The sequence below is a fragment of the Homo sapiens genome, chromosome 17 (assembly GCF_000001405.40).
Source record: "Homo sapiens chromosome 17, GRCh38.p14 Primary Assembly".
Taxonomy (NCBI): Eukaryota; Metazoa; Chordata; class Mammalia; order Primates; family Hominidae; genus Homo; species Homo sapiens.
Genome location: NC_000017.11, coordinates 21633568 through 21645561, shown reverse-complemented (window position 1 = coordinate 21645561; position 11994 = coordinate 21633568). Strand labels below are relative to the sequence as shown.

General features: G+C 37.7%; 1 long non-coding RNA gene across 6 annotated transcripts in view; it reads right to left on the bottom strand.

The window, feature by feature from the left end:
• Positions 1-1315: 1315 nt before the first annotated feature.
• The window catches only part of LOC101930665 (uncharacterized), a 31355-nt gene continuing 20676 nt past the window's right edge, over positions 1316-11994 (bottom strand). For all 6 annotated transcript variants that reach the window (XR_934333.3, XR_934335.3, XR_429862.4 and 3 more), the window contains one exon: positions 1316-4388. This is a non-coding gene — a long non-coding RNA (uncharacterized LOC101930665). The remainder of the gene's footprint in view (positions 4389-11994) is intronic.

Genomic DNA, 11994 nt, shown 5'->3' with positions numbered 1-11994 from the left:
CAGACCTGCTTGTAGTGAGCTCCTCTACTCCCCCACCAAAGCTCTGGTGAATTAATGTCCCTGTGGGGTATAAGTGACTGACAGTAACTTCCTCAATCTCCTTGCAGCCTAATCTAAGAAGATGCCTTCTAAAGAATAGCATTCTAATGTGAAATTTTAGTCCTGTGAAAGGCTAATGGGAGAAATCAGATTCCTTTACAAGATTACAGAAAAAACAGGACAATGAGTATCTCTAAAAGAGAATGTTCACTTGGAGTGTTGATGGGGTTAGGTGGCCAATACAGGATGAAAGGCTTTCATTTGGCTCCCTGACCTGCTGGATTTGGGGATTTCCCTGGTCCTGGTCATTACCTCTTTCCTCCTGCCCTGCATGTGCTCACACCAGCCCCCCTGCCTCATAGTCCTTCCCACAGGCCTTTTTTCTTACATTATTTTAGAGAAGGTAAGCTCAGAGGGGCTTTTAATATGCCAATCAATGTTAATAAAACACAAGCCAAAGACAAGTGCAAACATGCTTTCAACCAACATTAATGAGGAAACAAGACACAAATTCTTTTTCTTTTTATATTTTATTTTATTTTATTTTTGAGATGGAATCTCGCTCTGTCGCCCAAGCTGGAGTGCAGTGGCGTGATCTCCACTCACCACAAGCTCCTCCTTCTGGGTTCACGCCATTCTCCTGCCTCAGACTCCTGAGTAGCTGGGACTACAGGCACCTGCAACCACGCCAGCTAATTTTTTGTATTATGGTAAAGATGGGGTTTCACCGTGTTAGCCAGGATGGTCTCGATCTCCTGACCTTGTGATATGCCTGCCTCAGCCTCCCAAAGTGCTGGGATTACAGGTTGAGCCACTGAGCCTGGCCCTGTTTGTTCTTTTACATTAAATTTACAATGTATTTGCCATGTTTTAAAAATAAATTTAATTGGAATTTTATTGAAATTGTATGAGACATGATTTAGTCCAAGATGAACACACAACATTATTATTACTGTTTCCATCCAGCTATGGCACATTTCTTTGTTTCCTCTAGTTGTCTTTTATATCGCTCAATAAAATTTGTGGCTCTGGTACATTTCCTAATAATCATACATTATATTTCATTATTTCTAATTATTATAATGGATTGCATGTACATTAACTATGTACCACATATTATGCAATATATTCATTATCTCAATTCATAAAACAATCATGTGATTTAGTTGGTGTTATTACTAGATTATTACCATTGTACAAGTAAAGAAAATAAAGACAAAAGAAAAAAGAAAAGAGACTCGGCAAAATCAAACCAATAAAGACTTAATTAGAATTGTTGGGTATATAATAAAAATTTAATACAACTCAATGAAAGCAAAAAAACATTTTAAAAAATGACCAGGCAGATTTGAGAAGGAGCCAAACAGAAATTCCAGAAATAAAAACATAATTGTTGAAATTGAAGACAGATTTGACAGCAGATTACATATAATTGAAAAGGAAAATGCAAACTGGAAGACAGGCTGAAGAAATTGCTCAGAAGGAAGCCCAAAGAAGTAAAAAATAAGAAACAAACAAGAGACATGGAAGACAAGAGTGATATTACAACTAACAGGATTTCATAAGTAGAACAATAAACTGTTAGAAAGGTTTTGTAAAAAAGATAATGGCTTGGAATTTCCCCAAAGTGATGAAAAACTCCACCCTTCATATTCAGGAAGCTCAAGTTGGACAGATTTAAAAGGGAAAAAAAAAACCACCTAAATGTATCATCATAAAAATAACGGAACCCTGAAGAAAAGAATATATTGAAAATAAGCAGAGAGAAAATTCACTTTATCCATGAAAGAATATGGACTTAGACCAAGAGCTAATGTCTTAAAAATGGAAGCAAGAAGACAATGTACTAAGAAAAAATAATCACATATGAAATTAATATATCTTTTAATAAACAGCCCAAATATAAGACAATATTTAAGTCATAAAAACCAAACAAATACTGACTTTGCTAACTAAGAGACCTTCACTAAAGGAAATTCTAAGAGATGTTCTTCAGTAGAAGAGTGTTCCCCTAGATGAAAGACTTAAGTTGTGAGAAGAAATGGTGAGCACTTAAGAAGACAAATATCTGAGTAAATATAAATGAACACTGACTATACAATATGTAGTTTCCAGTGGATTAAGAATAAGATGAGAAGCAAAACTATAAAACTTCTACAAATAATACAGTAAAACTACCTTAATAACCCCAGTGGGTTTTCATATAAAACCTAAACAAATTCTGTTCACCAGAAAAACACTATCAGGATCAAAGACCCAAATATAAGGGGTAAAACTATAAAATTTGTAGAAGAAAACATAGGTATAAATCTGTGACCGTGAATTAGGCAATGGGTCTTAGATACAACACCAAATGCAAGAGTGACAAAAGGAAAAAACAAACTGGACTTCAACAAAATTCAAAACTTTGTACATCAAAGGATACTATCAGGAAAGTGAAAAGAACCCACAGAATGAGAGAAAATACCTATTAAGTCATACATCTGATGAAGAACTAATGTCCAGAATATATAAAGAATTCTTAGAGTAACAAAAAGACAACCCAATTAAATGAGCAAACAATCTAAATGAACATTTCTCTAAAAAGATATACAAATGGCCAATCAGCACATGAAAAGATGCTCAACATCATTAGTCATTAAGGATATGCAAATGAAAACTACAACTAGATACCACTTCACATCTACAAGAATAGCTATTTTTTTTAAAAAAAAGGAAAATAACAGATGTTGGCAAGGAGGTAGGAAAAAATGGAACCTCCATACACTGCTGGTAAGAATATAAAATGGTACAGAGACTTTGGAAAACAGTTTTGAAGTTTTTCAAAAAATTTAAACATAGATTTACCATATGCCCACTCCTAGACATATAAAGAAAATTGTAAAAATACGTCCTCACAAAAACGAGTACATGAATCTCATCACAGTACATTATTAATCATAGTCAAAAAATGAACACAACTCCAATATCCATGAACTAATGAATGGATAAACAAAACATAGTATACTCACGCAATGGGATTCAGGCATATAAAGTAATGAGGTGCTGAGACAAGATACGACATGGATGAATCAGGACAACATGCTAAACAAATGAAGCCAAACACCAAAGGTCACATATGATTCTGTTTTTTCTGATATTTGGCACATGCTAGTCCATAGAGACAGAGAATAGTCTAGTGGTTGCCAGGGGCTGGGGAAAGGGGGAAATGGGGAGTAACTGCTAGTAAGTATGGAGTTTCTTTTTGAAACGATAAAAATCTTCTAGAGTTAGAGAGTGGTGATAGCTGTACAACTTTATGAATACATTAAAAGCACTTATAGCACCTATAGTCCCAGATACTCAGGAGGCTGTTGCAGGAGAATCGCTTGAACCTGGGAGGCAGAGGTTGCAGTGAGCCAAGATCGCACCACTGCACTCCAGCCTGGGTGACAGAGTGAGACTCGAAATGTGGAAAAAAAAATGCACTTAGTGTACACTTAGAGTGGATACTGGGCTAAAAGTGAAGTGACAGGCCACAAACTAGGCAAATCTTCTATACACATACCTGACAAGGGACTTCAGGGAATCCTAAAAATTTCAATGACAAAATAGGAGACTATAGACAAAAGACATGAACAATGCACATAAGGAACCCAAATAACCCATAAACAAATGAAAATAAGCTCAGCCTCCTTCCAAACCACAGAGAAGACTATTTCATATCCAAATGAAAAAATGATATCAAGTAAAGGCAAGAATGTGCACAAACCAGTACCCACGTAAGTTGCCAGTGGGAATGTAAAATGGTGTTACTTCTTAGCAAATTTGGTGTCATCTATTAAATAGTTCACTGTGCATAATCTTGGGCCAAGCACTGCCATTCCTGGGCACATGCCCTAGAAAATCTCTACATGTGAACCAAAAACCAGCACCAGTGTATGGAATAGAAAAAAAAATCAAAAATAGAATGGACAAATTTCACTCTCTACAATCATATGATCAGACAGTGCAGCAAGGAAAATGAATGAATGAAAGAAAACCACAATAGCAGCAAAAAACAGCAAGCCAGAATATATAAGGCATGATTCCTTTTATGTACAGTTTCATAATATGGAAAACTCAAAAATATCTTCTGTAGGGAGAAAAACACACATTCTTAGAATATTATAAGCAAAGACTTTTACTTGTTTCTTCTTCAGTTTAAGGATCTGCTGTTCTACTTTTGCAATTTCTCGATTTATACGATCCATACTCTGTATTAACTCTTCCTTTGAAAGTTTTGAAGGTGAAGCATTTTGATCATCTCCACACGGTTGCCTCGAAATTGGAGAGGATGGAGCTTCATGTTTGCCTCCAAATGTTGGATCCTTTAGAGAATAAAACCAGGAAAAACAATTTATTTCTCACTAATAGAGTCCAGATTGCCTTAAATGAAAAAGCCAGTTTTAAACCACAGCAGAACCATGTGTACTATGTGTCTAATGTTTAGTAGTAACTTTCATATTTATATATATGCAAATTCTCACCTCACTTTTGTAGTTTAGATATACCATGTACTATTTTGAAGAGCCTAAAAGCTATACAAAGTCAGGTGAGTTAGTGTTGATCAGCCTCTAGTGTAACAATACTGAAATTATAGAGAATTTATAGGTAAATAATGCAATCATGACAAAGGAAGATACCAACTTCTCAGCCATTTCCTTGCAATGGCTCTTCAAATGGTCTGAACAACTGGCTGGGAAATAGTATTATTCCAGGTAAAACCTGTGTGTCCACCCAACTTAACAACTATAACATGGCCAAGTGTTCCTATCAAAAGTTTTCAGGCTTTCCAAACCAAAACTGAGGTACACGAGTCAGAGAAGTGACCTAGGAACTTCAGTTGCTACTATCTCTGGGCCTACTTTCATAAAGCCCACACTACAGCATACGTAACATTTCCTTAGCCAAAAACATCCCATTGCGCCTCCAAATCAGCAGAGCTGTAGCAGAATGAAAGCCCTTTCACCCAAAATCCACTACCCTCCAACACACATCCACACACACCCTATTAATTTCCAGTCTGCTGTAAAGACATAAGCAATATTATAAAACAGATAAATTTTAGAGTACTAATTTTACTTAGACTATGAGAAACCTACAATGAGGGTAGTTCACGGGATTACAGAACCCTAAAATATATTAAATAATGATTAAGGAACTGTGAAAAGTCAATAGTTCTGAGCCAAGAATGCATACAGGAGATAACTGGACAGTTGCTTCAAAACACCTTAGTACAGATATTTCAGCTAATATACATTGGTGAAAAGCCTCATATTCTGTAATAGTATGCACTGAATCTAAGAGGCCTTCTGGGAAAATAAGATAATGGCTATACCCTAAAACCTGTACAATTCTGTAAGGAAAGCACCAATAAAAGCAATAACAATTCTAATAGACTTAATAAAGTTAAAGCTCCAGTATCCTTTGCATCTGGCATACAGTCAATCTTTGGCAGCTTTAAGCCCTACAGTTTATGATTCCTCTCTTAAGATATAAATCCGTGAGGTCACTGGCTTCCAAAATAAACCACTATGTTTCATCTAAATAAAATATCAGTGGCTGGGCATGGTGGCTCATGCCTGTAATCCCAGCACTTTGGGATGCCAAGATGGGCAGATCACAAGTTCAGGAGTTCGAGACCAGCCTGACCAACATGGTGAAACCCTGTCTCTACTAAAAAATACAAAAATTAGCTGGGCGTGGTGGCGGGCACCTGTAGTCCCAGTTACTCGGGAGGCTGAGGCAGGAGAACGGCTTGAACCCAAGAGGGAGAGGTTGCAGTGAGCTGAGATTGCACTATTGCACTCCAGCACGGGTGACAGAGCGAGAGTCCATCTCAAAAAAAAGAAAAAAAAAGTCAGATTTGGCATATAACCATCTGTATCAACCTCTTTTTCTCCCCCTCCCTCCTTTATCATCGTTAAAAAACACACAAGAAAATTTGTCTTCACGTTGTCTTTTCAATGCTCGAATCTTCAGTAACACCGTGAAAAGCACAACAGTTCTTAAATTCACTAAACCAGTTACTACTTGCACTAAATGAAAACTAAATGCAGAATGTTCAAATATTTTTAAGTCTTCATGTGTTCTGAAGCCTTTTTCTTCATTATGAGACGCGTACTCCTGAGAACTTAGAAATGTTAACGCATAAAGAAAGATCTTTGATGAACCACCAGGACTTTCATGATACATTAATATCATTCTCCCACTATATGCATATGAGTAAGTTTGTGTTACAGAAACATATATAATAGCAAAAGAGATTACATTTTGATTCAGCAGACTTCAAAAGTGCTCCTCTGGTGATTCTGATGCATGCCCAAAGAATTAATATTACAAATAAATATTTTCCACTGACTTCCTTTCTAAATATTAAATATTTAATAAGAAACCAAATCCTCAAGTGCCTACTTGTATAACAGGAATAGGGTGGTGGATCAAAACAGACAAGATATCTGCCTTCATGAAGCTTACAATCTTGGGTTGAAACAGCCAGATACCAATCCTGAAGAAAAAGAATTAGATTCTTACCTCATATCTTACATTAAAAAAAGCCAAGTAATAGCAAACACTTACAAGAGGCTTATTAGCAAATCACAAAAAGCCTCAAGTTAAAAAAAAAAGATTCACATTATCTTGGGTTCAGGAAAGCCAAAAGCAAAAGATATAAAAGACATTAGTTTTTAAAAAAGAAAAATTGATGGATAAAATAAAAAACAATCTTCTGCTGGGCACGATGGCTCACACCTGTAATCCCACCATTTTGGGAGGCCGAGGCAGGCAGATCACTTGAGGTGAGGAGTTCAAGACCAGTCTGGCCAACATGGTAAAACCCATCTCTACTAAAAATACAAAAATCAGCCAGGTGTGATGGTGCGAGCCTGTAATCCCAGCTACTCGGGAGGCTGAGGCAGGAGAATGGCTTGAACCCGGGAGGCGGAGGTTGCGGTGAGCAGAGATGGCACCACTGCACTCCAACCTGGGTGACAGAGGAAGACTCCGTCTCAAAAAAAAAAAAAAAAAAAAAAACAAAAACAAAAAAAAACTACACATGCAAAAACACAATCTTCTGCTTATCAAAACAGTAATAACAAATTAAAAAGGCAAATGATTAAATAGGGAAACCATTTGCAAAACATGCACTCTAATAACTCAATATAAAATAAACCAACAGAAAAATGGGCAACATATATGAAAAAACAATTTACAAAACAGGAAAAATAACCAATAAACAAATAAAAAAGTTACATTTTACTAACAAATAATAAGTATAAGTTAAAAACAATCATTCATCAAATTAACAATCTTTTTGTTAAACAATAAACGTGGTGTCAGCAAGGATACAGGAGGAGTGGGTACCTTTATTTTTATTTATTTTTTTTTTTTGAGACAAAGTCTCACTCTTGTCACCCAGGCTGGAGTGCAATGGCGCAATCTCAGCTCACTGCAACCTCTGCCTCCCAGGTTCAAATGATTCTCTTGCCTCAGCCTCCTGAGTAGCTGGGATTACAGGTGCCTGCCACCACACCCAGCTAATTTTTGTATTTTTAGTAGAGACGGGGTTTCACCATGCTGGCTAGGCTGGTCTCGAACTCCTGACCTCTGGTGATCTGCCTGCCCCAGCCTCCCAAAGTGCTGGAATTATAGGTGTGAACCACTGGGCCCGGTCAAGAAGTGGGTACCTTTATACATTGTTGCCAGGAGTTAAGAACTGGCCCTAGTCTTTTGCAGGACAATCTGGAAATACCCACTGAACCTTAAAAATCAACCTGGTCTGTAATTAATTATACTAAAAGAAATCTACCTTAAGGAAATAAGTAAGAATGCATACAAAAAAAAACCTAAATAATGTATGGGCCAGCTGCAGTGGCTTATGCCTATAATCCCAGCACTTTGGGGGACCAAGGTGTGCAGATCACCTGAGGTCAGAAGTTCGAGACCAGCCTGGCCAACATGGTGAAACCTCATCTCCACTAAAAATACAAAAATTATCTGAACTTGGTGGCATGCGCCTGTAGTCCCAGCTAATCGGGAGCCTGAGGCAGGAGAATCGCTGGGAGATATAGGTTGCAGTGAGCCAAGATCGTGCCACTGCACTCCAGCCTGGGCAACAAAAGTGAGACTCTGTCTCAAAAAAAAAAAAAAAAAATGCACGTCACAACACCGTACTTCTGAACAAACAGGCAAGCTAAATGTATGACAACTGATTAAATAAATAACTTTATTTAATCAGTGAACTTTATTTATTCATATGTGGAATACTAAGTAGCCACTAACAATACAGTTGTAAACTTATTGGCACGAAAAGAAGCTAAGCACATATTTAAACAAAAGTAAAGTTAAACAGAATGTACAAAGTGAGCACATTAAAATACTCGTAAGGGCTGACTCTGGACACACTGCCTATGGGTTAGCCCTGTTCCACAAGGAGCAGCAGCAAAAAGAAAAAAAAAAGAAAAAAGAACCTATAAAATTAAATTAAATTAAATTAAATTAAATTAAAATTAAAATAATACACACACAAATAGGGAAGACTCAACATGAAAATGTTAATAACTTTTAACTGGTAAAACTGTAGGTAATTTTTTCTTTCAAGCTTACTTAATTCTTCTATAAATGATATACCTAGGCTTAACATTTAAAAAAAAATCTAACAAATGTTAGTTCTTTTTAAATCCTTACTTCTGGAGGTGGGCAGTTGGGAGAGAATGGGGAGAGGGAGATGGAAAGAGAAGTATTAGTTAGTAGTAGTAGTCATGGTTTACACTTTAGAGGAGAAAAAGCAGGACTAGAGTCAGGGGTCCTAGGTTAATTCCAACTCAGGAGGTACTACCTAGGTCACTTAATTCTTCTGAACATCCAGTTTCTCAACTATGACATGGAAATGGGTCACACTACAACACAACACACTCATTTTAATGAATGAGTTTTTAAGACACTTTTCTGCTAAAAAACGAAATTCTATAAACTACATTTGTGGTAATGTATTCAGCCATGGAAGATGACCTTTATTCACTATAGTTTTAAATTTCATTTTTTTAATGCAGCAGAACATTTCTTATAAACCCCACAGATTACTGTATGATAAAGATATTTTACATGATAAGGTGGGTCACAAAACACCTAGAAGCTTAGCTAATTTCTAGCTTACAGCAAAGAATTTTTCCCCATCGAACTTACTATTTTGAAAAATTTCAAATTCACTTAAAAGTTGAAGGAACAGTGTAATGGACACTCATTTATCCTTCATCTGGATTCACCAGTAGTTAACATTTTAACATATTTGCTTTCTGTGTTTGTCTGTGTATGTGTATAAAACTTCATTTTGGCTGAACTATTTGAAAATAAATTGTAGATACATTTATTATCTTTTAAATTACTCTTCATTGCATGAAAACTCAAAGAAAATGTGTGGGTACTTATTTATCTGATATCAGGGAAGAAAGGGCAATTAGGCATAAAGGTTAATAAACACTATAGGAAAAAGATTTGATGGCAGTAAAAACATTTTAAACTTCAGTATGCTTTAAAAAAAAGAAAAATTGAAACAAAAAGACACTGGGAAAAATATTAGAATATGTTAGGCAGGCAGATCGCTTGAGGCCAGGAGTTCGAGACCAGTCTGGCCAACATAGTGAAAACTTGGCCCTACTAAAAATACAAAAAATTAGCTGGGGCCGGGCACAGTGGCTCACGCCTGTAATCCCAGCACTTTGGGAGGCTGAGGCAGATGGATCACCTGAGGTCAGGAATTTGAGACCAGCCTGACCAACATGGAGAAACCCCGTCTCTACTAAAAATACAAAATTAGCTGAGCATGGTGGCGCATGCCTGTAATCCCAGCTACTCGGGAGGCTGAGGCAGTAGAATCGCTTGAACCCGGGAGATGGAGGTTGCAGTGAGCCGAGATCGCACCACTGCACTCCAGCCTGGATGACAAAGCAAGACTCCATCTCAAAGAAAAGTACCAATCCTACACAAACCCCTTAAGAAAACAGGAGTAAAGAGCACTCCCCAAGCTAACATCATTCTTAATGCAGAAAGACTGAAACTCAATGCTTACTACACCACATATAAAACTTTAATTCAAAATAGGTAATTTACCTAAATGAAAGACCTATAATTATAAAACTTAGAGAAGAAAACATAAGTGAAAATTGGTCAGGCGTGATGGCTCACACCTGATATCCCAGCACTTTGGGAGGCCAAGGTGGGTGGATCACGAGGTCAGGAGATTGAGACCATCCTGGCTAACAGGGTGAAACCTCATCTCTACTAAAGATACAAAAAAAATTAGCTGGGCGTGGTGGTGGGTGCCTGTAGTCCCAGCTACTCAGGAGGCTGAGGCAGGAGAATGGTGTGAACCCGGGAGGCAGAGCTTGCAGTGAGCCGAGATTGCACCACTACACTCCAGCCTGGGCAACAGAGTAAGACTTCATCTCAAAAAAAAAAAAAAAAACCCAAAAGCAAAACAAAACAAAAATAGAAAAAAAGAAAACGTAAGTGAAAATCTTAGTGACCTTGAATTTCGCAAAAACGTCTTAGGTTTGACACAAAAAGCACAAAAAATGAACAGTAAAAATAATACATCAGGGCTGGGTACAGTGGCTAACACCTGTAATCCCAGCATTTTGGAAGGCCAAGGAGGGCAGATCACCTGAGGTCAGGAGTTCGAGGCCAGCCTGGCCAACATGATGAAACTCCATCTCTACTAAAAATACAAAAATTACCTGGGCGTGGTGGCACATGCCTGTAATTCCAGCTACTCAGGAGGCTGAGGCAGGAGAATTGCTTGAACCTGGGAGGCAGAGGTTGCAGTGAGCTGAGTTGGCACCATAGCACTCCAGCCTAGGCAACAGAGCAAGACTCTGTCTCAAAAAAAAAAGTACATCGGGCTTGATAAAAATAAAAAATGTACGCTCCCCAAAGGATACTGTTAAGAAAATGAGGCAATACTTCTTTTAATAATCTAGATACAACAGATATATAGATATATGTTTTCTAAGTAATTTTACCTATAATAATCAAAAACTGGAATAGGTGACTGGATAAACAAATTGTGTTATACCCATCTCAACAATAAAAAGGAATGAACTGAGACATGCCAGACATGGATAGATCACAGAAGTATTATGGGAAGCCAAAGGTCACAGACAAAAGAGTTCCCATGAAGCTCAGAAAGTATACAATGTTTGATGATAGATAGCAGATCAGTGGTTTCCTAGGAGCTGAGGTTAGTAGGAAGTGGGGGAGGAGGACTGACACGGGTGGGTGCCAAGGAGGATGGGGTGCCAAGGAACGTGCTGGAGTGTTAGAAATGTTGTTCATCTTCATTTTGGTGATGGTTCTGTGAGTTTATGACTTTGTCAAAATTTGTTACAATGTACACATATACTGAGTGCATTCTAATATAGATATATGTGTATATATATAAACTAAACTGCAAAGTTAATTTTGTTTTTTTTAAGACGGGGTTTCACTCTTGTTGCCCAGGCTGGAGTCCACCTGCACGATTTTGGCTCACTGCAACCTCTGCCTCCTGGGTTCAAACGATTCTCCAACCTCAGCCTCCCAAGTAGCTGGGATTACAGGTGCCTGGCTACTTTTTTCATATTTTTAGTAGAGATGGGGTTTCACCATGTTGGCCAGGCTGGTCTCAAACTCCTGACCTCAAGTGATCCACCCGCCTCAGCCTCCCAAAGTGCTGGGATTACAGGCGTCAGCCACTGCGCCCGGCCTGATTTTATGAAAAAAACAGCAGCAACAATAATCCGGAAAATTGGTAATCAGACGAATAACACTGGTGTAGGAGGGGGACAACACAAGCAAAATTCAACATCCAGTCGTGACAGAAATTCTCAAACTAGGAACAGAAAGCAACCTCTTCAACCAAAAAAAGAATCAACAAAAACGTGCAACTAACATTACACG